Source organism: Homo sapiens, chromosome 2, assembly GCF_000001405.40.
Source record: "Homo sapiens chromosome 2, GRCh38.p14 Primary Assembly".
Taxonomy (NCBI): domain Eukaryota; kingdom Metazoa; phylum Chordata; class Mammalia; order Primates; family Hominidae; genus Homo; species Homo sapiens.
Window position 1 is genome coordinate 55,413,588 of NC_000002.12, and position 27,792 is coordinate 55,441,379.

Below are 27,792 nucleotides of genomic sequence, written 5' to 3' on the forward strand. Positions count from 1 at the left end.
AATGTACTGTGTGTCAAACACTGTCCTAAGAATACAGAGACAAAAGATAGAGTCCCTGGCTTCAGGAAACTCACAGCCTAGTCAATAGAGTCAAGCAAAGAGTCAGGCTGGTTTGTGCCTATAATCCCAGAACTTTGGGAGGCTGAGGTGGGTGGATCGCTTGAGACCAGCCTGGGCAACACAGTGAAACTCCATCTCTACAAAAAATACAAAAATTAGTCAAGCATGGTAGCGCGTGCCTGTGGTCCTAGGTACTTGGGAGGCTAAGGTGGGAGGATAGCTTGAGCCCGGGAGGTGAAGGCTGCAGTGAGCGGTGATCATGCCCCTGCACTCCAGCCCGGGCAACAGAACAAGACCGTCTCAAAAAACAAAAACAAAAACAAAAAAAAAAAACAAGCAAACAAACAAACAAAAAAGGGCAGATGACTTCTGAAGTCCCTTCAAACCCAAAATTCTAAAGGAAAAGCCATAACAAGTTTATCACAATTACCAAGTGTTCCAAGTACAGCTCTCTATAACTATCTAATAGGGTTGAATCATAAATAATAATTCCAAATATTGTTCTGATACTATTAACAATTTTCTCAGTACTTAAAATCCTAAGACATCCATATTTTCAACCGTTTGGGTAATATGAATTGGACGTTTTTAAAATTTTAGGAGTATGAAATTAACTACAATGTCACAAATTCCTTAAAAACTCACAGCAAGTAATATTCAAAACTGGCTCCAGAATTAAATGACATCTCAAACAGGAAAATAATTATTTCTACTTCACTGTCACCAAGCCCTACAACTGATAACAATAAAGAAAAAAGATTTCAATCCACTGAAGTAGGAAAATGCCCTACAGCGTACAGAAGAGCTGGCCCATCATTCCAGATCTCTGAATAGCTTTCCTCTTCCTTCCCATTAGTTTAAGACGATTGAAGTCATGTTACAAGTTCTAACAGAGATTATTTGCTTCAAAAAGCTACTCAATGAAATTCAGGATTCATCTCTGAATACAGTAAATCTCAAGTCAGTGAAAAGACTTCAAAATTGTGAGGCAGAGTCAGTAAACAGTGTCATGAAGAAGTTAGCTCTTCACTTTCAGAGTCTGGGTGCAAAACAGCAACAACAGAGTCATTAAATTAATCAATTTTCTTAGTCTTAATAAACATTTTAGATGAAAAAACTTATATAATAAGGTTCCTGGCCAGGTGTGGTGGCTAATGCCTGTAATCCCAGCACTTTGGGAGGCTGAGGCAGGCGGATCACGAGGTCAGGAGATCGAGACCATCCTGGCTAACACGGTGAAACCCCGTCTCTACTAAAAAAATACAAAAAATTAGCCAGGCGTGGTGGTGGGTGCCTGTAGCCCCAGTTACTCGGGAGCCTGAGGCAGGAGAATGGCGTGAACCCGGGAGGTAGAGCTTGCAGTGAGTTGAGATCACACCACTGCACTCCCGCCTGGGCATGGAGCGAGACTCTGTTTCAAAAAAAAAAAAAAAGGTTCCTATAAAAAAAGTCCATCTCACATCTAAAAGCAGTAATATAAGACTAGCAGAGCAAAAATGTAATTAAAAGTATATAAACAGCCAGGCATTGTGGTGCGCGTGCCTGTAGTCCCAACTACTCAGATGTTTAGGGTGGGAGGATGGCCTGACCCCAGGAGTTTGAGGCCATAATGCACTATGATCACATATTCCAGCCTGAGCAACATAGCCAGACCCCATCTTGAAAAACAAAAAAGTATACAAACATATTTCTACTGGTGGCCAGAGACCAAATTTGCCCTCCTCCCTGAAACAACTGGGGGGAAAAAAAGACAAAATACATAAAACGTTTTTCAAGACATTGGACATCAGGCAACAAAAGACAGTGATCCCCAATCGATGGGAAACAAGCATGAATCCAACAACTGCTCCAGCATTATGGCCTTGAAAGAGTTTCCAGGCCACAGAACAGGAAGAGGGGAATCCAGGCAGAGCACAATGGTCTGAGCTGAGGGGACAGAACTGAGTCTGGAGACAGCAAGGTAGCTAAAGTACACAGGGCAGAGTACTTAACAGAGTTGAACAGTGAGAAAGATCTGCAGAGGGTATCCCTCAAGTCTGAGTACTTATCAGAATATAAGTGTGAGGAAACTACCCAAAGATAGTGAAAGAACCACCAAAAAGACTGAGAGCGAACACCACCAAGTAGGTCCTGTTTCCACCAGCTGGAGTATTCAGAGGGGTTTTGCCTCAACAGTGTGACAAAGTAGTACTGCCTAACAAATCTTAAAAGCATGTCCCCAAAAGATCAAACTGTTTTCAGGTAACTTAATGCATCCCAGAACGAAGCTCAAGATTTTTGTATTTAATGGAATACAAAAATATCCAGCGCCAAACAAGCTAAAATTTCAAATGACTGGCATCAAATTAAAAAAAAAATCACCAGGCATGCAAAAGCAACAGAATCCATAATGGGAAGAAATATCAATCAACCGAAACCAACCCCAAAATGACACAGACAGAATTAGCAGACATAGACATTAAGCCAATTATAACTGTATTCCATATGTTCAAGAAGCTAGAGAAAAGACAGAGCATGAAAAACATAGACATGGAAGATATAAGACAATTTCTAAAGATGAAGTTATAATATCTGGAATGAAAAATATGGTGGGTGGGATTAAGAGCAGACTAAACATTATAGAAGAAAAAATTAATAAATTTGGAGACATCACAACAGACTATCCAAAATGAAACAAAGAAGACTGAAAGAAAATTGAATTAAACATCAGTAAGTTTTAAGACAACATCAAAGCTACTAATATATATGTAACTGGACTTCCAAAAGGGTGAAGAGGTCAAATAAATAAATAAATAAATATATATATATATATATATATATATATATATATATATATATATGTATATATTTTCTTCTAGGAATAATGACTGAAACTTTTCTAAATTTGATAAAAACTATAAACCCACAGATCCAAGACACTCATTGAATTCCAAGCACAAGAAACATGGAAAATATATAAATAGTTTCATTTACAAAGGGTTCTTGCTCACAAATTCTGTAACTAAATGTACTGTAGAAATTAGACTAGGCCTAACTTTTACATTTACTAGGTATAGAGTTACAACTGACACTTTATAATAGAGTACATTAAAGCATACATTAATCTAAGTAAAGTGCTTAACAGAAATCCTAATGACTTCAAAATTAGCAAAATACAGCTTATAAAACAATGTATATTTTGTTGCCCTATCAGTTAAATAATTTATTAAGATAAATTTGATCTTATTTTAGCAAATTATTCAAACAAAGCAAAAGTATACTTTTTTTTTCTTTTCTTTTCCTTTAATTTTATAGGTCATTTACAACAGAATTAGGACACCGAAAAAAAATCTAAAGAAACTGAGAGGTGGAACTGAAAATACAGAAGCAGATTTGTGGTTTGGAAAGGAGCTAGTCCTCATGAAAAACAGCAACCTGACAAACACTATTTTGGAATACCGTCATTTTCAAAATATACATATATTTTTTAAGCATAAAACTGCATTTGAAGTGGAAATTAACGTATTTGTTTTTAGCACCTCAGCTAAGTATTTAGGATGCAAAAAAAAAATCTAAATTTTTCTGGAAAAAGAATCATTCAAATAAAAACCATTAAAGTGGAAAACTAAAGTAATATATTTCCCTATTTTTGTGAACACACATTTTTAGCACACAAATTCAAAATCTTCCGTCTAAAAATAAGCACAATAAAGAGACACAGGGGAACAAATTCTGAGTATCTACTGTAATGGCTACCCTTTCTGTCATGTAGGTTCCCCAAAAGAGAAGTCAGTTTATTATCCTACCATTTTGCTTAGGAAATAGTCAGATATTTTGAGGATAAAAAATAATTCCATTACACAGCTGTCAAAAATACATTTACTAACCCTGGAAATAATTGATGTCTACGCTCTTTTTTCCTTTCTTAAGGAAAAAAATAAATATATACATATTTAGATAACATATATATTTCTTTGGGTGCCTATGAAAACAAAACACTGGTTGAAAATGTATAATAGTATAATACTTCCCTGTAGGATCAACATGTACATGAAAAACAGCCCACAAATCTCTTTGAGCACACAGAGAAGTTAACACGAGAGCAATTTTTTATAGATGTGACTTCTACCCTCTTAAACATAAAAATCTAAACCAATAAAATACAAAATTGATAAGGTTATCAGAGCAGAATGGTAGACTTATTCTCTAGTAACAACTATTTATTGATAACACACCAATTTCCCATACATATAAAAGTTCCAAACTACCTCTTCTCATCAGATTCTATTAAAGAGAAATAAGACTAAGTATACATTACTTTGAGCACAACTGAAAAATTCAGTTTGATAAACTACATTAGCGTACTTAGAATACACGTATGCTACAATAGCTGTAATTAGATAAAAGCTGAGTTTTAATTTTACTGATCCAGCTACCAATATACTTTCACTATTCAATTCCCATCTCAAAAGCATACTTTCCTACTTAGTACAAACCCAATATTATAAACACAAAAGACAAAGATTTGCCCAATAAGTCGTTATCTAATTGTTATCAAGACTTGTTATTTGCATTTCAAAACCTGTAAGAATACCTTAAAATGATCCCTAAAATATTAAGCAACCTAATAATTCACACAATAAATCATCTCATCAGGCTTTAGTTATTACAGGCATTTAAATTATTTACTACAGCAAGAGTCCTCACCAATCAGAACTGTTTGAAATTTTCTCTTCTGAAATCTGCTATTACTTAACGAGTTTCAAATTTTGAGCCATTTATTTCTAGATATAAAGGTTAATAAGAAACATTTCTGCATCAAATGCACATAACTTCACAGTAAAGTCTTTTTTCCTCTCTTAGGAAACCAGATTCTCATTTTCTCTCTTATTTTACCAAATTATCAAAGAATACACAATGTGGCTTGGATTTCAGTACTGAAGACAAGTGACAATACATGGTTGACAGAATGAAAAACTAAAGTTTCACAATTTTAACAGGTAAAATATCTAGGTTGTGATAATGGGCTGAGCCCATAACATTAGCATTCCTTTCAAGATCCAATTCTTAAACCACCTGAATATTTCTGGCCAATGAACCAAATTAGGGGCTTAAAACATCGTGTCTCAAAGTTCACCATATGCTATTTCTCAAAGAAAACGTTACCTAGGAAAGAAGGAAGAACTTACATTTGGAGCATGACCTGGTTCAAGAATACCCCATCCACCAAAGCCACATATTCATCAAGGTTGGTCCCATTTCCTGCGGCCAGAGGTCCAAACGTTTTAACCTAGAACAAACAGAAGGATCACCACGACATGAACGCCCACCTCCATCTCTGCAGCCACAAATAACTCAGCAAAATATACAATAAAGGACACCCCACTTACCCAAGTGACCAAAGGGCTGGTCATGAACTGCTCCAGAAGGGGAGTAAAAATTTCGTTCTCCATTTTACAGAGTATGTATTTGAAAAAAGGAACTACCACAAAAATACGCCTAGGGAATTGGTCACTAAACGTGGAAGTAAGTAGAAATCAATGAAAGTCCATTTCGGCAAGGGAGAAAAATCCCATCGTGGAGGAGGGGGGCACTCTCCCTCCTCAAAAAACACCCCAGAGTGAAACGAGCCGAAATCCCAAGAAGTGGCTTCGACGACGGACACCACGAGCAGCAGCCTGCGCTGGAAATGTCTGTACCGGGCGAGGAGGGGCAGAGAAAAGGCATCTGGAGGAGGAGGAAGGGAAAGGGGGCTGGAACCCAAGACAAAAAGCCCGTCAAGGTTGTCCAGCTCCTGGAGGATCCAGACCAGCGAAACTGCTCCCAATGAATCAATCCCAACGGGGGCTAAATGAAATACGTTAAACAGAGACCACGTTAAGGATACCGAGGCGCCACCAGACTCGACCTCGGCGTTCCGACCTCTACACGTTCCACCCACCGATGGGCATGGAGCCGCTTTCGACCCGCGGAGCCTCCACTGCCCGCAGCCCCTCAGTACCAACAGGCAGGGCTCGCCCCTTCCCCCCGAGCAGACACCATTCCTCCGCCGCCCTCAAGCCTCGCCTCCAGCCCCCTTCCCCTCCCGGGGGTGGGGGCTTGAATGTGTGTCCCTAACCCCCCAGCTTCCTAAGCCCTGCCAGCCTTTCAGCGCGTCTCTGGGAATCCCTGGCACAAAATCACCGCCGCGCTCCAGCCTTCTCCGCCCTCTATGGAGAAGCCGGAGTAACGGCCTCAGAACCGCAGTGCCGCATCACACCCCACCCCTCGCCGCCCGCCAGCGCCGCCCGCCAATGCCGGGGGCCGCCGTCAAAGGGAGCGCGCTGCTCCCTCCGCGCCGATATCCTTCCGCCGACTCCCCGCCCCTCCCGTGCAGCTGCCTCTGGATTGTGGGAGAAGAAAACCGCTGCATGAGCGCGCTCCCGAGCGAGCGCGCCCCCGGGCTAGCCTCGCCGCCGCCCAGATCCTGGCGGCGGGCGCGGGCTCGGGCGTGGGCGCGCGCTCGCTGCAGCTGCTGCGGAGACAACCCGCTCCTCGGTTGCGCCCAGGACGGTTGCCTGGTGGGCGGGGACAGGGAAGGCAGAGCAAGGGGTCTGTCTGCTCGCTCGCTCATGCCTAATTATGGTTTATTTCCTCCCCGAGTGACTTCTTTGATACGTGAAGGAAGGGGAAAGAAATCCTTCTCTTATAAACATGAGGGATGCAGACAGCCTTTTTCGGACAGTTTGATGTGTTCTGTAAAGCATGCCTTCTCCCCAGCAAAATGGAATAGGAAAACTCACTGCAGCAAATGGCAGAGGGACTTGAGCCACAACTTGGTGGGGGTTTTTTTCTCCTTTTTGTTTTCTTCCAAATGCAGTCCACTAACGCATGAATGTTCTTCAAAGTTGCAAGTGACATACAGTAAGATTTTTTAAAAACCAGAGCTGTCTGTCAGCACGTTGGTATTCCCTGACTGGAGCAAACATGACTCAGACATTGTTTTTTGGTTTTGTTTTGTTTTTTACTATTTGGGCATGGGTCGGGGGAAACCCAAGCAAAATCAAGAGCTACAAAGAAGAAACATTTAGAAGTCATCCAAGTTGGGTGACAAATAAACAGATTACATATTTGTCATAAATCTCCATGCCACGTACGACTGGGACCTTGAAATAATTTTAAGTTCCCTGGCAAAATCAAATGCTACTCCTCATTTCAAAGGAAAATAAAGACCTTTTTCCCGGGGTAAAATGGGCATATAGAACGCAATCTTTTTTTGATAAAAGATAATATTATAGTTTTATAATGTGTGCTATGTTTACATTACATAAATATTTACACGGAGTATATATTTTAAATTAGCAGTAAAAATGTTTTTGTCATAACACAGTTAAGAAAGAGCAGAATTTCTTAATTGGGTAGTTGAGAACCTGGACTCTGAAGTCTTCCTGCCTGGTTCCAATATGCACCAGCTGTGTGAGCCTACGCACGTTATTGAGTCTCTTTGTGCTTCGATTCCGTCACGTGTAAAGCAGGGCTAATAATAGGGTTAAATGAAATGGCAGCTTATAGTTAAGTGTTCTATAAATGTCATTAATGTTGTTTTTAACATTATTCCTTCAAAATAAAGAACCTTTATGAAAAACTTGAAATATAACCTCTCTGCTTCAGTTACAGGAGAAAGGATCTTGCTTTGAGGAGGGAACTAAATGCCCTTTGAAAATCATCTTAATTAAAATTAGGATGCATTCATGTGGCACTTTGCTAGGTGATGTACAAGTAGAACCTTGCATTTCCCTAGCCAGTACACAAGCCTTCAGACATCCTTGTTGCTAGCAATCTTTTCCATCTGCTCTTGATGACTTTTTAAAAAGCCTTTTAGAGATGGGAGTCTCACTGTGTTGCCCAGCCTGGCCTCAAACTCCTGGCCTCAAGTGACCCTCTCACCTCAGCCTCCCTAGCAGTTGAGACGAGACGTGTGAGCCACCACGCCTGGCTTGGTGACTCCTTCTTTTTTTGTTTGTTTTGTTTTCTGAGACAGAGTCTCTATTACCCAGGCTGGAGTGCAGTGGCACGATCTCAGCTCACTGCAACCTCTACCTCCAGGGTCCAAGCGATTATCCTGCCTCAGCCTCCCAAGTAACTGGGATTACAGGCACCCGCCACCACCCACTGGCTAATTTTTCTATTTTTAGTAGGGACGGGGTTTCACCACGTTGGCCAGGCTGGTCTCGAACTCCTGACCTCAAGTGATCCACCGCCTCGGCCTCCCTAAGGGCTGGAATTACAGGTGAGAGCCACCGCGCTTGGCCTGATAACTCTTTCTTAATAGCAGTTCTTTATTTGGCAAATGAAATACAGACAGAAGGAGAGTGGGCACCAAGGAGACAGCATTGCTTTCAGGAGCAGCCCAGTGCTTGACATACCCACTTTTCTTTGTAATCCCCCAGACGCTTGACAAAACAATATGGAAGTAATTATGCCTATACTGGGTTTATCCTAGGACAAATCAATCTGCTTCATTCATAGGCGAAAAACCAAAAAGTATTAACACCAAATACAGCAGGTTAGGGGCATTTTGAAGTGGTGACTGAAGGGTTAGCACAGGAGTCATACATTAAGATAGTATTGTTTATGCAATTTAGTACCCAGCCCTCACAGAAATCTGGATTCTTCTCTAGAGCCAGATGGCCCCAGATGCTTTCTGGTCTATCTTTAGGTTTTGCGCGCACACACACACACACACACACACACACACACACACACACACACTCAACAAAGAAACATGAGGAGTTAATTGTAAAAACAGGAAACTTTAGACCAGACTGAGGTCTGGAGGAACTTATTTGAAAACCTACCAATTCACAATTCCCTAGTTTAACAGCAGCCTTAAAAATGCTTTATAATATCTCAAGAGTACAACCAGTAATCTTCTCTGTCTGGCTAAAGAGGGATTGTACATTATACCCAGTTTAATGGTCTTTGAATTGCAACATCCTGTAAGATTAAATCCAAAAGTTTCCTATCCACCTTTCACTTAGGAAGAAATTTCTTAAGATTTCTTCAAAATACTTTTGTTTTGTACTTTGTAGTCATTTATGTGTCCTGAATGCATCCTTTCTTGGAAGGTTAAATCCAGCATGAAAGGAGTTTGGAAAAATCATACCCACCTGGTTAGGATGTAAGTTATTTGCTCAGCTGTCTTCTAATCTGAAACTAAATGGTTAGAAAGGACCATGGTCCCATTTAGAAATCTCTAGAGAAAGACTGTCTCCCGTGTATCACAATTGAGGCTTTCTCCTTCAGGTTGCATATGAATAACACAACCCATGTACCAAAAGCACCCATATGAACTTCTACCCATGTCTATCTTGATCTACACTATAGGAAGTGATAGACTCATCCAGAACCAGTTTCCTTGGTGACAAATATTTTTAAGTACGGATTTGCAAAGGTAATCACATTCGTAAGCTAGTACAAGAAAAATACCACAAATGCAGCAGCAGAATGGCACCATTGTTTATAATAGACAATAAGTGGAAACAACCCACATGTCCATGGACTGATGAATGAATAAATAAAATGCAGTATATCCATATAATAGGATACTATCTGGCAATAAAAAATAATGAAGTACTAATACATGCTACAACATGGATGATAGCATTATGCTAAGTGAAAGTCATAAAGAACAACATATTGTATTATTCCATTTATGTGAAATGTCCAGAAAAGACATATCTATAGAGACAGAAAGTAGATTAGCCTAGGGCTGGGGGAAAGTTGGGGGAAAATAGGAGTGATGATTTAGGGATGTGAAATTTCTTTTTGAGAAAATGAAAATATTCTAAAACGATCATGGTGATGGTTGCACAACTCTGTGAATACACTAAAAGCCATTGAGTTGTGTACCTTAAATGGCTGAATTGTATGGAATGTGAATTATGTCTCAATAAACCTTTGTAAAAAAGAATGGCACCATTGCCTCATGAAGATTTTTTTTAAGTCATCAAGAAATCTAGTCTCTAATAGACTTTTTAAAAGGGTGCCTTGATCTAATAATTAAGATTTTTAAATCACCTAGGAACACAGAAGGCTTATATTTTAATTACCCAAGATAGTTTTAAGAGGAAATATAATACAGGGAGAGAAAGAGAAATTAGGCAGGTTGCTTAACTTTTTTGAGCATCAGTTTCCCCAGTAGGGAATGAGCACACTGATTTCATTCTCTACTGGACTTCTGCTGAGACCAGTGGACTCGTTGCTCTGTCCTGTACCTCAACTGAGGAGAGGAGAGGAAAGTTGGAAAGATAAGACAGGGAAGAGAGAAGGGGTCCTCCTTTCAGGCCAGTATCAATTGCTCTTCTCAAACATCCTACTTCTGTGTTCCAAAGTGAACCTTCTCAAATTCACAGTAATATCCCATATGCCTGTGCCTCTGCATATGCTACCATCCCTGTCCAGAATACCCTTTTCTGCTTGCTAGCTAGGCCAACTCCCACTCATCGCTCAGGATTCAAGTGTTAACTCTCTATGAAGCATTCCTCTACTTCAGACTCAGGTGACCACTCCTTTTGGTGCCTGCATAGTATCAAATCTTCCCTTCATTTCTGCAACTTGCTCTAAATGGCATGTATTTGCCTGCAATTACTTCTCCTTGATTCATCTTTATGTCCCTGGGTCTAGGGCAGTGCCGTGCAATGGAGGGCACTCTCAGTCAGTGGATCAGAGTCTTCCTCACACCACGATGACTAGTATAAATTCCTAACAATAGGCAAGAGCTCACAGCAGAGTGACTTCTGAAAACGGTTTCATTAACTAATGACCTTGAGGAGGCATTAGCTAGATTCTTGCTTGCCAGTGAATTTGAAGAACCAAAGGTCTTGCCCAGGACATTGAGGTCATAAAATAAATAGCTTCCAAGAGAGCTTTTTTCCAAGTAAATTTTTTTCAGAGAAAAGCTTAGAGGAATACATAAACATCATATCATCTTTTATTTCTCAGTCAGCATGTAATGACATATATCCTTCTCAACACTCAAACTATTTTTTATTTTTTATCATGTTGATGGAAATTTTGTAAAAATGTATCTAAGCTTTGTTGAACAGTATATTCTGAACTTAAATTGGTCTTTTAATTGTATCGCTACATTTGACCTAATTGATTGTGTGGTGCTTTTAATGTTGTGATCAATTCAGAGGTTCTCAAAAGTGCAAGGGTGTGGCCGGGTGTGGTGGCTCATGCCTGTAATCCCAGCACTTTGGGAGGCTAAGGGGGGCGGATCACGAGGTCAGGAGTTTGAGACCAGCCTGGCCAATATGGCGAAACCCCATCTCTACTGAGAATACAAATATTAGCCGGGCGTGCTGGTGGGCGCCTGTAGTCCCAGCTACTTTGGAGGCTGAGGCAGGAGAATCACTTGAACCCAGGAGGTGGAGGTTGCAGTGAGCCGAGATCGTGCCACTGCACTCTAGCCTGGGTGACAGAGTGAGACTCTGTCTCAAAAAAAAAGAAAAAAAAAAAAGTGCAAGGGTGCATTCACAGTCTCCAGATAACTAAGTTTTGAGTTTTATTTTACTTTGAATAGTTTTCCTATCTTCTATTGTGGCTGTCAGTATCTCCACCTACCTATAGTCCCCAGCCAAATATGCTGCTTCTGATTTTCTGGATGCTAGGAATACACCGACTGTTAAGACACTCTGAAAGAATTAATAGTCTTCGAGTGAAGTCCTGATAGGCTCTTCAGGGAGTAGAATTGATGGATTTGTGATAGGCCTGAAGTGTCTCTTGGTATAATGTTTTTGCTTACGTTCAGTTTCTTGGTCTTTATTTAGGTAAGTGTGGTGCTACTCAGTTTATTTAACTAGTTTGCTATGGTGTGTTGCAAAAGTTCTGAATGTTAATGGTCACTTACAAAGTATTTCCAGGGTGTGACTGGCCTATCACATAGTCAGTCATTGTGTTGACATTGTTCCTTCTTTAATTCTTCAAATCTAAGCAATAGGCAGTGACTCATTTCCTCTTAAGATGCTGCTTGGGCAATATATATAGTGAGACCTTATCTCTACAAAAAAATTAAAAATTAGCAGAGCGCGTTGGAGCACAGTTGTAGTCCCAGCTAGCTACATGAGAGGATTGCTTGAGCCCAGGAGGTGGAGACTGCAGTGAGCCTGTGATGCACCACTGCACTCCAGCCTGGGCGACACAGTGTGTCTCTAACAAAACAAAACAATATGCTGCTACCGGAAAGATACTAAGCAAATGAAAACCTTATAGAGCAGTGGTCCCCAACCTTTTTAGCATCAGCAACGGGTTTTGTGGAAGACAGTTTTTTCCCTGGGCAGGGAGGGGGCATGGTTTCAGGATGAAACTGTTCCATCTCAGATCGAGGTATCGTATTCTCATAAGGAGCACGCAACTTAGATCCCTTGCATGCACAGTTCATCACAATAGGGTTCCCGCTCCTATGAGAATCTAATGCCGCCACTGCTCTGACAGGAGGCAGAGCTCAGGCAGTAATGCTGGCTCGCCACCCAACTCCTGCTATGCGGCACAGTTCCTAACAGGCCATGGACCAGTGCCGGTCCACAGCCCAGGGACTGGGGACCTCTGTTATAGAGGAGAAAATAAAAATGCGCAGAAAAGGACAAATACTGTAAAACAAACTTCTAGAAGTTGAAAAAAAATTAACTCTTCTATTCTAATCATAAGCCTATTCCCAACCTCTACTATTCAACTATTTACATCTTAGAGACAGACATTAGCAATACCTAGTTGAAAGAGAACCTAGGCAGAACACCTGATGGATCATTAATAAAATACATAAACATTCCATGTAATGGGCACTTTCCTCATGGTGAAGATCACAATTATAACTGATGAATAGCATAACACAAAAGCTTAAGACCTTCTAATAAAAGAAACACAAACTGGGCATTCTTGGGTATAATAATACCATCTTTAGAACATGACTTAAATTTTTCACACAGCATTCCCTTTAAGATAAATGAGCAAAAAGATTTCCACATAAAGAACCATTGGTAGTTTTAAGGGTACTGAAAATAAGCCTGAGTTAAAACAATTAAATACTTTGAACCATAGGAAAAGCAAAGATCTGCTTCCATATTAAAAAATACAAATTACAGATTATAATAAACATTACAAGTGAGGATATCTGAAGATATTTTATTTCCTTCTGGTGAATGGTAGTAGGAAGATATTTAGAAATGCATACATTCTTAAGCGACTATGTAATTGATGTTCTGCTGTTGAAAAGTTAAAATTCACATGAAACGTTTTAAAAATTTACAATTTAAATGTTTTTTCCTAATTTTCAATCAATACATGCTAATTGATTATTTTCTTAAAATATCAGTTTGAGAAGAGTTCTTAGACTCAATTTTATTGCAATAATTTTTTAAAGTAAAGATCTGTCTTTGGTTTCTTCAACTAAAATAGCAATATAAAATATTCAGTTACATTAGGTTTACCATTTTGCATATTTTGTAAACTATTTTATTTTCTCATAAAAATAATACATTTCATCGTCATATTTGGAAAAAAAATCCACAACACATAAAGAAAAAACATAAAAAAGAATAGACCAGGTGTGATGGCTCACACCTGTAATCCCAGCACTTTGGGAGGCTGAAGCAGGTGGATCACCTGAGGTCAGGAGTTCAAGACCAGCCTGGCCAAAGTGGTGAAACTCCTTCTCCACTAAAAATACAAAAAATTAGCCGGTTGTGGTGGCGGGTCCCTGTAATCCCAGCTACTTGGGAGGCTGAGGCAGGAGAATTGCTTGAACCCAGGAGATGGAGGTTGCAGTCAGCTGAGATCACGGCACTGCACTCCAGCCTGGGCGACAGAGTGCCTATCTCTATAAAATAATTTTAAAATTAGCCAGATGTGGTGGCACATGTCTATAACGCCAGCTACTCAGGGGGCTGAGGTGGAAGGATAGCTTGAGACGGAAGGTCAAGGCTGCAGTGAGCCATGATTGTGCCACTGCACTCCAGCCTGAGTGACCCAATGAGACCCTGTCTCTAAACAAAAACAGAAACAAGGCTGAACATGCCTCTCAGTTTGAATTAATCAATAAATAGAATTCAAATGCATTTTTAGTAATGATATTTATCATATACTAAATGCGTAGTACTGCCAGGTCAACAATTTTTTTTTTTTTTTTTTTTAAGACAGAGTCTCGCTGCGTCGCCCAGGCTGCAGTGCAGTAGCGCGATCTTGGCTCACTGCATCCTCCGCCTCCCAGGCTCAAGTGATTCTCATGCCTCAGCCTCCCGAGTAGCTGGGATTACACGCATGGACCACTGTGCCTGGCTAATTTTTGTATTTTTAGTAGGAGATGGGTTTTGCCATGTTGGCCAGGCTGGTCTCAAATTCCTGGCCTCAAGTGATCTGCCTGCCTCCACCTCCCAAAGTGCTGGGATTACAGGTGTGAGCCACCACACCCAACCCAGGTTAACAATTTTTACAAAATCAGAGTTCAAATTCCTATAATCATGTATACAATTTGGCTAATAAATCTTACAAAAAATTAAAATATGTTCTCCATGTTTATCACAAAACTGACGGTCATGAGTTCTAAGTTTGTCAGTGCATTCCCAATTTCTTCACTAATCAATATTTATTGAACCACCATATGTATAAGATAAGCATACTGAGCACAAAAGACTGTGTCTAAATGAGGCCAAAAGAAATAAAACTACAAACTATATATCATTCAATCAATTAGTTCAGAGGTCGGCAAACTTTTTCTGTAAAAGGCCAGATAGTAAATATTTTAGGCTCTGTGAGCCATAAGGTCTCTCTCACAATGACTCAACTCTGCCATTGTAGCAAGAAGCAGCCATACACTATAGGCAAAGAAATAGGCGCGGCTCTATCCTTGTTGAATGCATAGGATGCAAATAAAACAAAACAAAAAACAGGAATGACTTTCTTCCCTGTGAATTAACTGACTACAAATAATTAAATAAACTATCCAACTATATTGTATATAGTTACCTTCTGGAATTGCAGAAATGGTCTACAAGCTCCTTGGAAGCTGAATTTCATTACTCTGTTGATTCAGATATAGTTCGAATTGCTTTCATTCTTTCAGCATGTTACCATTGATAACTTTTCTTCTGTATATAAAATTTTTGTTTGTTTGTTTCTAGTCTTCTTGAGTTCTAGCAGGAAGCAGAGGGCACACTTAAAGTGTTTAACTTTAGGCTGCTTCAGACAAAAAAAAAGCATTTAAGTGAAAAGAAAGTAATGAAGGAATGATTTAGAGAGGCATGAGAAGGTAAGTGAATGAACATGGGGGCAGGGAACCACCCAAGGATGAACGATAGCAAGGAGCACTTCTCACCCCTAGGCCTGAAGGGGCAAGAGGAGGAAACTGTGCTGCCAGAACCCTGAAAGACCTGGAGCCTTGGAAGAGGAGTCTTTAAATAGGAACTGTGTCCATACAGTGTGGAGCCACTGCCATAATCATGATGCAGAAGAAAGGCAAATAAATATCCCAATCTCTCCATCCTCCTCACTTATATTTCAGGCCAGTGCTTCCCTTCTGGCTGAACCCCCTGGAAGTAAAGAATAAGAAGCCCCATATGATGGTGTCCATAGAGGTCAACCTTCAGGGCACAGAAGACAGTGGGACCAGAAGCCCCAGTAGAAGACTGTGTAGCACAGAGCTGCATGTGAAAGGTGTGGAGAACACCTAGAACCATTTCTGTAGATTTTCTGAAAGTCATATAAGAAGGCAATTATTTTCAATTTAACAGAAGCTTAAGCTTTTGGTAAAATGTCATGAAGAGACAGAGGCAGCTGATAAGAATGTTAAACTGCCATAAAATTTATGGCGTATAGGTCAACATCTATGATCGATTGCTGCAAGGTATTAATTTTTTTTTTTTACAGTGTCTTGCTCTATCACCCAGGTTGGAGTGTAGTGGCATGATCACAGCTCACTGCAGCCTTGATCTCCCAGGCTTAAGCCACCCTCCTACCTCAGCCTCCTGAGTAGCTGGTACTATAGGTGTGTGTCACCATTCCTGGCTAATTTTTTTTTTTTTTAAGAGATGGGGTTTCACTACATTACTCAGGCTGGTCTTCAACACATAGGGTCTAGGGTCAAGTGATCCTCCTGCCCTTGCCTCCCAAAGTGCTGGGATTACAGGTGTGAGCCACTGTGCCTGGCCAACAATTTTATTTTAACCGACAAATATATAGTATCAGTGTCCTGCAGTGTCTTGCAGATAGTATGTGCTCTGTATTAGTGGAATATATAAATTTGTTGAATTAATTAATTTTCAATCATTATGAAATTAACATAGTAGGCCGGGCAGAGTGACTCACACCTATAATCCTAGCACGTTGGGAGGGGAAGGCGGGAGGATCGCTTGAGCCCGAGAACTTGAGACCAGCTTGGGAAACTTGGTGAAACCCCTGCTCTACAAAAAGTACAAAAATTAGCCAGGCATGATGGCATGCACCTGTAGTCCCAGCAACTGGGGACACTGGGGTGGGATGATCACCTGAGTCCAGGAGGTCGAGGCTGCAGTGAGCTGTGATCACACCACTGCACTCCAGCCTGAGCCACAGAGTGAGACCCTGTCTCAAAAAAACAACAACAACAAAAAACAAAACAAAACAAAACAAAAAAAACAAAGGGCCAAAAAGTCTCCTAACAAATCCTTTTTTCTAATCATCAGCTAGATTGCTTATCTTTTGCAATACATTCATCATGTGAGGATTTCGACTCTGAATTAGGAAGAAACTATCTGTGTCATGTATCACAAACTCCTACACACTTTTTATGGAAATTTACTAGTAGACAGACCTCCAAGCTCTGGACTGGATTTATTTCGATCCCAAAAGGCAGCCTACTCTTAGTTTTAGATCTTAACCTCCTCCTTCTGTTTAGTTTAAGACATGGCAGTAGTATATCAATTTTATTATGGTAGCTACAAACAGTTTTGATTTAGTTACAATTTTGAATTACTCAGCTGTCTCAGTCTTTTTTATTTTCACCTTTATTTACTATAACCCTATCTAACTCATGACCGAATTTTTTTTTTTAACAAGGGTCATAAGGACAATGGCCATATTTTTCCTGCAGTGCAATGTGAAAGCATTTTTCTCTTACTCAATTAGCAAGAGCATATCAAATTACATAGAATTGGCAAAACTCAACATGATTTTGTGAAGAGCAAATCCTGCTGAACTAATTTCTTTTTTTTTTTTTAAACCAACTGCAAAACCTGGCAGATGGTATAGCAATGATCACCTCTGCAAAACATCAGCTGTGTCTACTTACTGGTATATACATCATGTGTTTTTAAATGTATTGCAGTGTACAAGTCTGAGGTAGAATCATGAAAGGAATACCTTCTTCTTCCGTCACTGTGTGAACGCTAATCTCAGCAAACAGACATAAATGAGACTGGAATTGGTTATTGAGTATGCCAAGTACACACAGACTGTAGATCATCCCTTGTCTCCAGAGAAGCAGGAAAGTAGAATTCCACCTGGCTTAGAAATAGGTGACCTCGTGCAACCAGGATTTCTCTAAATTGTAAGTAACATAATATCCCTGTACTTCTGCACCAAAGAACCTCCATCTTAACTATACTACAAAAAAAATCTGGCTGCTAAGAGGCAATAGGGAAATTAAAATTCTCCAAAAACATCTATATATTTCAAAAATAATCTTTTGGTAACATCTGATGCTTCCTGATCTTGTGAGAAGCACCATCTACAAGCCTTAGCTGCAATGTCTGTCTAAAATTTTACACAAGGTGTTTTGTCCAATATGAGAACTCTCTATTTAGTTCCTTTTCTTTGTTCATTCAACAAACACACATTATGAGTATTTACTGCATACTAGGCATTGGAGACATGAAGATGAATAAGACATTTCCTTTTGACACATGAACCCTCAGAGACCTTGTAGTCTGCTAAGGAATACAAACTAATTATTCTAAAACAATTCAATCTGTAGTATATGCTATTTGTGGGAGAAACAAGGTTCAATAATGGAAAGTCAAGAAAGTCTCCACAGAAAGATGACTTTTGAGCCAGGCCTTGAGTGATAAGTAAGTGTTTAATGGGGAGTGGAAGTACAGGGAATTTCAGGTGGAAGAACCACCAAAGCAAAGCATCATCAAGGTATAGAAGAGTATATTGTGTCTGAGGAGCCATGAGTAGCTTGACGTGGCTAAAGAAGTTTCCAAATGTGGACAATGGTGAGAAATGAAAGTTAAAGTCATATTAAGAAGAAACCCAAATATCACACTAAAGAACTTGGCCTTTTATCCTATTGGTCGTAGAGTACAACTGAGCTTTAAAAAAAAAAATCAAGGGAATGATATCAGATTTCTCCTTTAGAAGAAATTTCTAGCAGCACTATAGTAGGGGGATTGGAAAGAGGTGAGACTGTAGGCAGAGAAACCAGACAGGAGCTCCTCCTACTAATGTTTTATAGTTTCAACTTCTACTGCTTTTGTTTGTCACAAGTTTAATACTGTCTTTTTTGAACTTTGCTGAGACAGGAGGTTTGAACACTGCCATCAAGTCAGCAACTTGTTCATGTTGCCCTCTATTGGTAGAAAGGAAAAGAAATTACTATCAAGGGCATTATTTCACATTTCATTTGTTGATGGTATTTCGATTTTCCTGAAATAATGTTTGTTATGTTTTGTAACATAAAAAACATATGCTGGCATTATATTACAATTACAGGAATACCTCTGAAATTACACTTCGAGTAGTAAGGGGATAGTGTAGACAGCAACAACCACAGGAGTTCAAAGAGAGAAATGAATATGGTCTAGCCTGGAGACCTCTCTCTAAATTTCACTTACCTCTAATAATATGAATAATCATGTCTTGATTTATCTGCTTAGAATACACATGCAGATATATTTTAAGCAAACAAATTAAGACATCATGATTTTAAGTATAGCCACACCTTGGAGTAGTTTGGTTCTAGACCACTGCAATAAAGCGAATATTGCAATAAAGCAGGAGATACAAATTTTTTGGTTTCCCAGTGCATAAGAAGTTATGTTTATACTATACTGTAGTCTATTAAGTGTGCAGTAGCATTATGTATAAAAAAATATATATACCTGCATTAAAAAATACTCTATTGCTAAAAAATGCTAATGATCATCTGAGCCTTCAATGACCCAAAATTATTTTGCTGGTGGAGGGTCTTATCTTAATGTTGCTGGCTCCTAATCAATCAGAATGGTAGTTATTGAAGGTTAGGGTGGCTGTGGCAATTTCTTCAAATAAGACAGTAATGAAGTGTGCTACATTGATTGGCTCTTCCTTTCACAAAAGAGTTCTTTGTAGCATGAGCTGCTGCTTGATAGCATTGTACCCACAGTAGAACTTCTTTAAAAATTGAGGTCGATCCTCTCAAACCCTGCCATTGCTTTATTCACTAATTTTATGGAATATCCTAAGTTCTTGTCGTCATTTCAACAATGTTCATGGTATCTTCACTTGAGAGTATATTCCATCTCAAGAAACCACTTTCTTTGCTCATCTATCAGAAGTAACTACTCATTCGTTCAAGTTTTATCATGAGATTGCAGCAGTTCAACTACTTCTTCAGGTTCCACTTCTAGTTCTCTTACCATTTCCACCACAGTTACCTCCTCCCCTGAAGTCTTGAACCCCTCAAAGTCAACCATAAGGGTTGGAATAAACTTCTTCCAAACTTCTGTTAATATTAATATTTTGACCTCCTATGAATCGTGGATATTCGAAAAGACATCTAGAATGGTGAACTCTTTCCAGAAGGTATTCAAGGTATTTTTTCCAGAACCATCACAGAAATCACTATCATTGGCAGCTATAGCATATTTCTTAATGTCATATCATGAAATGTATATTTGGGCTTTTTCCCCATTTCCTGGCACACAACTCCTAAAATCCTTGGAATCTCCAAAGTGCTGTCTCTTTGTACGGCTAATATTGAGTAATAGCTTCAGGTTGGGAGTGGTCACTGGAAAGACCAAAGCATGATTAGAGGATAGGGACTTTCAACCCCATCCCCCAACCTCCGGTGAGGGGATAAGGGGACAAAGGTTAATTGAACACCAATGGCCAATGGTTTAATTAATCATGCCTATGTAACGAAACCTCTCTGAAACCCAAAAGAGCAGGATTTGGAGTGCTTCCAGATAGCTGAATATGTGGAGGTTCCTACAGTATGGTGCACTCAGAGAAGACATGGAACCTCCGTGCTCCTTCACCTATACCTCACTGTATACTTCTCTTCATGTGTATCCTTTATAATGTCCTTTATAATAAACCAGTAAATGTATTAATAAATGTTTCCCTGAGTTCGGTGAGCCACTCCAGCAAATCAATTGAACCCAAAGAAGTGGTTGTGGGGACTCCAACTTGAAGACAGTCAGAAGTTCACCAGGCCCAGACTTGTGACTTGTGTCTGAAGCTTGGGGATTAGCCTTGAGGACTGAGCCCTCAACCTGTGGGATCTGATCTGTCTCCAGGTAGTATCAGATTGGTGTTCACTGCTTGTTGGTGGGCAAAAATCCCCACACATTTAGCCACAGAAGCCTTCTGTGTTGATTGTTGTGGTGTGAGAGCAGAGGGAAACAACACTTTGAGACTTTTTCTCCAAACAAATAACAAGATGAAAGTTGAATTATTCCTTGATCTGTGGGCCGCAGAATGGATGTTGTGTTAGCAGGCAGGAAAACATTAATCTCCTTGTATACCTCCAGCAGGGCTCTTAGATGACCAGGTACATTGTCAGTGAGCAATGTTATTTTTATTTATTTACTTATTTATTTTAGATGGAATCTTGCTCTGTTGCCCAAGCTGGAGTGCAATGGTGCAATCTCAGCTCACTGCAACCTCTGCCTCCCTGGTTCAAGCGATTCTCCTGCCTCAGCCTCTCGAGTAGCTGGGATTACAGGCACACGCCACTACGCCATGCTAATTTTTGTATTTTTAGTAGAGATGGGGTTTCACCATGTTGGTCAGGTTGGTCTCGAACTCCTGGCCTCATGATCCACCCGCCTCAGCCTCCCAAAGTGCTGGGATTACAGGCGTGAGCCACTGCACTGGGCCCTAGCAATGTTATTTTGAAAGGAATCTTTTTTTTCCTGAGCAGCAGGTCTCAACAGTGGGCTTATAATATTCGGTAAACCATGCTGTAAACAGATGTGCTGTCAGGTGGACTTTGGTGCTCCTTTAATAGAGCACAGGCAGAGTAGATTTAGTATAATTCTTTCTTTTTTTTAACTAGGCAAAGAACTTTATTAACCTTTGTTTCAAACTTGATTCCCAAGTTTCTTTGGTTTAATTAGCTGCAAAGAATGAACTGTGTATAAGCAAAAACTGAAAAGAGCTGCAGTGTCCAAGGGGCTTGGGCTTAAAAATATTAGAGATCTAGATTTTATCAGATCCATAAACAAAAATTTCTTAAAAAGCAGTCATAATATAAAATAGCAGCTCCCAGTAACTTTAAGTTTTATCTTCAGAAGTTGACTCAATTCAGTTTGCCCCATTCTTGGAAGCCTCTTCAAATTTCTCCACAAGATCTGGAACTTCATCATCATCATCCTCGCCAGTAGCAAGTGGTGCTTTTCCATCCACAGATTGTTGGGCAGAGCTTCATCCAGTCTCCTTAAATTAGTCAGACTGCCTGTACCAAGCTGGTTTAAGATGCTGGGTAGCATTTCTGCCAGCTGCTTTATCTGAGCATGGCCTGTAACGGTGAAAGTGTTCGCTGCCAGAGATGCCTGAACTTTAGGGTTGTTAAAGTGGTTACTGTTCCTTGGTTTGTAAACATATTCACCTCTTCAATACCAGAGATATTGTTTACCCCTAACTTCTTTAAGGAGAATTGAAGTTTTTTATCATCTGCTGCGGCTGCTCTATGAACCACCTTCTTTCTGCAAGCAGTTCTTTCCCACCAATGCGCACTTGTGCCTGCAGTTTGCGAGTTTTTCCTGGTTCATGATTGCTTCTTTCATCTTGTCGGAGTGGATAAGGGGCCACCCGGGGGACTAGGGTTGGTGCTCAGGGGGTCTTGGGTGGACCAGCTGAGATTGGGTGTACACACCAATTTAGCGTAATTCTTAAGGGCCTTATAATTTTTGGAATGCTAAATGAGCATCGGCTTCAAGTTAAAGTCACCATCTGCATTAGCCCCCACCAAGAAAGTCAGTCTGTTCTTTGAAGCTAGGCATTGACTTCTCTCTAGCTTTGAAAGTCCTAGATGGCATCTTCCTCTGATAGAGGGCTATTTTGTATACATTAAAAATCTGTTATTTAGTGTAGCCACCTTGATCAATAATCTTAGCTAGGTCTTCTGGATAATTTGCTGCAGCTTCTGTATTAACACTTGCTGTTCACCTTGCACTTTCATGTTATGGAGACAGCTTCTTCATGAAATTTCATGAACCAACCTCCACTACCTTCCAACTTTTCTTTTGCAGCATGCTTACCTGTCTCAGCTTCACAGAACTGAAGAGAGTTAGGGCCTTGCTAACTTTCTTGCCTTAAGTTAAGGGAATGTTGTGGCTGGTTTGATCTATCCAGACCGCTAAAACTTTCTCCATATTGGCAACAGCCTTTCTCACTTTCTCACATTCTCACTTTCTTATTTGCGTGTTAATTTCTTTCAAGAACATTTCTTAGACTTAGTGCAGTGGCTCATGCCTGTAATCCCAGCACTTTAAGAGGCCAAGGTGGGCACATTGCTTGAGCCCATGAGCTTTTGACCACCCTGAGCAACATGCGGAGACCCAGTCTCTATAAAAAATTTAAAAATTAGCCAGGCATGGTGGCTTACGTCTGTGGTCCTAACTACTTGGGGTAGGCCAAAGTAGGAAGATGGCTTGAGCTCCGGAGGTCAAGGCTACAGTGAGCCATCATCATGCTACTGCATTCCAGCCTAGGTGACGGAGAATACCCTGTCTCAAAAAAAAAAAAAAAAAAAAAAAAAAGAACTTTTCCTTTTCATTCACAACTTGACTGTTTGGCATAAGAGGCTAGCTTTTGGCCTATCTTGGCTTTTAACATGCCTTGAGAAGATGACAACTAACATTAATCTTAGTTGTAAAATTAATCATTCCTGGCTTTTGATTTAAAGTGAGAGACATCCAACTCTTTCTTTCATTTGAATACTCAGAGGCTGTTGTAGGGTTATTAAGTAGATTAATTTTAATATTGTTGTCTCACATGAAGGCCAGAGGAGAGAGACAGAGACGGGATAATAGCTAGTTGGTGGGACAGTCAGAACACACACAACCTTTATTGAGTAAGTTTACCATGTTATATGGATGTGGTTTATGGTGCCCCAAAACAATTAAAATAGTAACATCAGAAATCAGTGATCAAAGCCAGCCATTGTGACATATGCCTATAGTCCCACCTACTCATGAGGCTGAGGCAGAAGGATCACTTGAGGCCAAGAGTTTGAAGCCTTGGCCTCCCAAAGTGCTGCAATTACAGACACAAGTCACCATACCAAGCCTGAAGAGTCTATTACGTATTAAATAACTTAAATGTATTATTATAAACCTTCCCACAAATAAAACCTCAGTCCCACATGGTTTCACTGGTACGTTCTTCCAAACATTTAAGGAAGAAATAACACTAAGCTTACATATATTTTGGAGAAAGAATAATAGTACCCCAAAGATGTACACCTCCTAATCCCTGAAAACTGAATATGTTACTTTTCAAGGGGAAAAAGGCTTTGCAGATGTGACTACATTAAAGATCTTGGGATGGAAAGAGTATCCTGGATTATCCAGGTGGGCTCAGTGCAATCACAGGGGCCCTTATAAAAGGAAATAATGTGTCAGAGAGTGAGAGAAATTTGAAGATGTTATACTGTCAACTTGGAAGATAGAAGATCTTCAAAGGGATCATGAATCTTGAAATATAGATAGCTTCTAGAAGTAGAAGCTGGAAAAGGCAAGGAAACAGATTTTCCCTCAGAACCTCCAGAAGGAATACAGCCTGCTAACCTATTTTAGACTTCTGACCTCCAGAACTGAAAGATAATATATATGCAGTGTTGCAGGCTACTAACTTTGTGGTAATTTGTTACAGCAGCAATAGGAAACTAATGCTGGTGGCAGCAGCGGCCCATCTAGACTGGCTGCTGCCATGATGGCTGCAGGAGGGAGGTGCTGCCCAAGTCTCCCTGGGTGCCACCACAGCTACTCTGGTGCAGGTCCAGACCCCAGCATCTCTGTGGTCTTGGGTGCCCAGGAAGACCTCCCTTCCCCCTGCAGGCTCAGAAGTGCTTGCTCTCATTGCCTGGTTTCTCCTGCTGTCAGTGCCTGCTCCCATCTCGGAGGTGTGGCTGGGACTGCACATTCCATGGAGCTGGCGGGAGCTGGGGACAAATGGGAGCCTCACCCCTTCCGAGTTAGTGAGGCAGGATCTCCCTGGGTGCAGCTGCAGCTGCCCAAGCCTAGCTTTGGAACTGGGCATCTCTGTGCTCTTGGGGGCCCAGGAAGGCCCCCCACAGGAACAAAGTGCCTGCTCCCACTGCCTGGCTTCTCCCTGCTCCCAGTACCCACTGCAATTGTGGAGCAAGGTTGGGGCCGAGCCCAGGCACTGTCACAGCCCAGCCAGGTGGGCACATGATTGGGGCAGCCCTGACATGCCAGCCCCCTGCTGCCTCAGTCCCCTCCGGACTTTGGGCACCCACGAGTGCGGGAGGGAAGCCGAGGGGAGGCTGAGGGCAGCTCAGCATTGGCTTGCAGGTGTCCCTTGGCATGAATAGCCTGTGAAACACGAACAGCAGCCGGAGGCAGACAGGTTCCTGGGCAGAAGGGGGCAGGAAGCTGGTGAAGCCCCACCTTTACACAGGGGAAGGCCTCAAAGCTGGGGGCTGGGCTGCCACTCCTGTGTACTGGAGGCAGAACTCATGGCGCCTTTTCCTGGGCTCACCCATGGCTGCTCGTGGACCTATCAGCATGCATTTCACCCCTCTGAAGACCATAAAAACCCCTAGACTCAACCACAGCAGGGCAGACACTGGGAAAACCAGCTGCAGAGAGGAGCTATCTTCTCCAGGGCCTCCTCTCCACTGAGAGCTGCAGACGCTGGAATGACCAGCTACAGAGAGGAGCCACCCTCTCTGCTAAGGGCTGAATGTTTATCAGGACGACCTGCCTGCAGACAGGAGTCACCCACTACAGGTCTCCTCTGAGCTGTTCTAACACTCAATGAAGCTCGTATTCATCTTGCTCACCCTCCACTTGTCTGTGTACCTCATTCTTCCTGGACACAGGACAATAACGTGGGCAAAGGTGCCACTGACCACAGAGATTTCTGGCCAGAAAAGTAATACCCCAAAGGTCCTGTAACAATACAGTATATATTTTCAAAGAATAAAAAAAGAGAAAACATTTTCTAACTCTTTATATAAAGCTAATATAACCTTGATTTTTTTTCCTTTCTTCCTTCTTTCTTTCTTTCTTTCTTTCTTTCTTTCTTTCTTTCTTTCTTTTTCTCTCTCTCTCTCTCTTTTTTTTTTTTTAAGTTTTTTCTATTGCCCAGGCTGGAATGCAGTGGTGCAATCACTACTCACTGCAGCCTTGACCTCTTGGGCTCAAGCGAGCCTCCCACCTAAGCCTCCTGAATAGCTGGGACTACAGGTGTGCACCATCATGCCTGGTTAATTTGTTTTTAAATTTTTCTTGTTTTAGCTATGGGGTCTTGTTATGTTGCCCAAGCTCCTCTCAAGCTCCTGGGCTCAAGCAGTCCTCCCACCTCAGCCTCCCAAAGTACTGGGATTACAGGCATGAACTGCCACACCCAGCCAAGAGCTGGATTTTACATAATATAATGCCAAATGGTTCCAATTTGATCTTTTTTTTAAAAAGAAATAGTTAAGGGAACTTTTTTTTTTTTTACTTTTCAGTTTGTAAATTTTCAAACATACGTAAAAATTGAGAAAATAGTATAATAAACCCATGACTTAGCTTTAACAGTGGTCACTATTTTGCTTTATTATTTACACATCCCTCCCCCACTTTTTATCTCCTTTTGCTGATGTACTTTATTTTCATTTTTATTTTTTTAAGACAGAGTCTCACTCTGTTGCCCAGGCTGAAGTGCAGTGGTGCAATCTTTGCTCACTGCAACCTCTGTCTCTTGGATTCAATCAATTCTTGTGCTTCAGCCTCCCAAGTAGTTGGGATTACAGGCATGGGCCACCACATCCAGCTAATTTTTGTATTTTCAGTACAGATGGGGTTTTGCCATGTTGGCCAGGCTGGTCTTGAACTCCTGGCTTCAAGCGATCATTCTGCCTTGACCTCCCAAAGTGTTGCAGTTACAGGTGTGAGCCACAGCACCTGGCCTTGCTGATGTACCTTAAAGCAAACCTCAGACATGCCATTTCAGCCATAAATACTTCCAGTATGCATCTCTAATGCATAAGGACTTTTTTCATAGAAACTTTTGAAATCTTCAAAAGTGATGTTTAAATGTGTCTGAATGATTCATCAGTAAATGTTTTAAAAAATAAGAAAATAGTCCAGGTGTAGTGGCTCACACCCATAATCCCAGCACTTTAGAAGGCCAAGGCAGGTGGATCACCTGAAGTCAGAAGTTCAAAACCAGCCTGGCTGACATGGAGAATCCTCATCTCTACAAAAATACAAAAATTAGCTGGGCATGGTGGTGGGCACCTGTAATCCCAGCTACTCGGGAGGCTGAGGCTGGAGAATCACTTGAACCCGGGAGGCAGAGGTTGCAGTGAGCCGAGATTGTGCCACTTCACTCCAGCCTGGGTGAGAGAGCGAGACTCCATCTAAAAAAAAAAAAAAAAGAAAGCAAACATGGAGAAAGTCAATTGGTCAATCCAACTGAAAGGTATACAGGTGTTCCTTTGTACTATTCATGTAATTTTTCTATAGAAATTTTTCAATGAAAAATTGTTTATTCAACAAGTGTTTTCCTTTAGCACTTTCGGTTCATCAGTACCTAGTTAACAATTTTTTTTGTCTGAAACTGAGTTTCGCTCTTGTTGCCCAGGCTGGAGTGTAATGGCAGGATCTTGGGTCACTGCAATTCTGCCCTCCCAGGTTCAAGCGATTCTCCTGCCTCAGCCTCCCAGTAGCTGGGATTACAAGTATGCGCCACTACGCCCAGCTAATTTTGTATTTTTAGAAGCGATAGGGTTTCACCATGTTGGCCAGGCTGGTCTTGAGCTCCTGACCTCAAGTGATCCGCCTGCCTCAGCCTCCCAAAGTGCTGTGTACAGTGTGAGCCACCATGCCTCGCCAGCAATTCTTTACATAAACAATTACAATTTTTGATAATTAGTTTTTTGTTGTTGTTGTTTTTGATGGAATCTCGCTGTCTCACCCAGGCTGGAGTGCAGTGTTGCAATCTTGGCTCACTGCAACATCTGCCTCCTAGGTTCAAGTGATTCTTCAGCCTCAGCCTCCCGAGTAGCTGGGATTACAGGCATCCACCACCATGCCCAGATTTTTTTTTTTTTTTTTTTTTTTAGTAGAGACGAGGTTTCACCAAGTTGGCCAGGCTGGTTTAGAACTCCTTACCTCAAGTGATCCACATGCCTCAGCCTCCCAAAGTGCTAGGATTACAGGCATGAGCCACCGTACCCCACCTCAAATTAATTTTGAAAATACAACTGATGTGAGCTCTGCCTCTTGAGAGCTGGCATGAGCATTAAAGGAAATGTATTATAAAGATTTGAATGCGTCTTGTGGAATCCCACAGCAGAAG

At 41.0% G+C, this 27,792-nt stretch overlaps 1 protein-coding gene and 1 pseudogene across 4 annotated transcripts in view, besides 3 other annotated features; both read right to left on the minus strand.

Moving 5' to 3' along the window:
• Positions 1-6,269, minus strand: part of CCDC88A (coiled-coil domain containing 88A) — a 132,015-nt gene extending 125,746 nt beyond the window's left edge. For all 4 annotated transcript variants that reach the window (NM_001254943.2, NM_001135597.2, NM_018084.5 and 1 more), the window contains exons 1-2: positions 5,430-6,269; positions 5,229-5,329 (exon numbers count right to left, since the gene is read on the minus strand). In NM_001254943.2, coding sequence (NP_001241872.1) covers positions 5,229-5,329; positions 5,430-5,492 — 164 coding nt within the window. In that variant the 5' untranslated portion in view covers positions 5,493-6,269. The remainder of the gene's footprint in view (positions 1-5,228; positions 5,330-5,429) is intronic.
• Positions 6,170-6,239: a silencer, noted in NCBI's record as "silent region_11497". NCBI's record gives its function as "represses an Ori minimal core promoter by ATAC-STARR-seq in GM12878 lymphoblastoid cells {active_cell/tissue: GM12878}" and the evidence as "EXISTENCE:reporter gene assay evidence [ECO:0000049][PMID:35858748]".
• Positions 6,270-6,319: a silencer, noted in NCBI's record as "silent region_11498". NCBI's record gives its function as "represses an Ori minimal core promoter by ATAC-STARR-seq in GM12878 lymphoblastoid cells {active_cell/tissue: GM12878}" and the evidence as "EXISTENCE:reporter gene assay evidence [ECO:0000049][PMID:35858748]".
• Positions 6,380-6,669: a silencer, noted in NCBI's record as "silent region_11499". NCBI's record gives its function as "represses an Ori minimal core promoter by ATAC-STARR-seq in GM12878 lymphoblastoid cells {active_cell/tissue: GM12878}" and the evidence as "EXISTENCE:reporter gene assay evidence [ECO:0000049][PMID:35858748]".
• On the minus strand, positions 21,309-22,132 carry BTF3P5 (basic transcription factor 3 pseudogene 5; annotated as a pseudogene).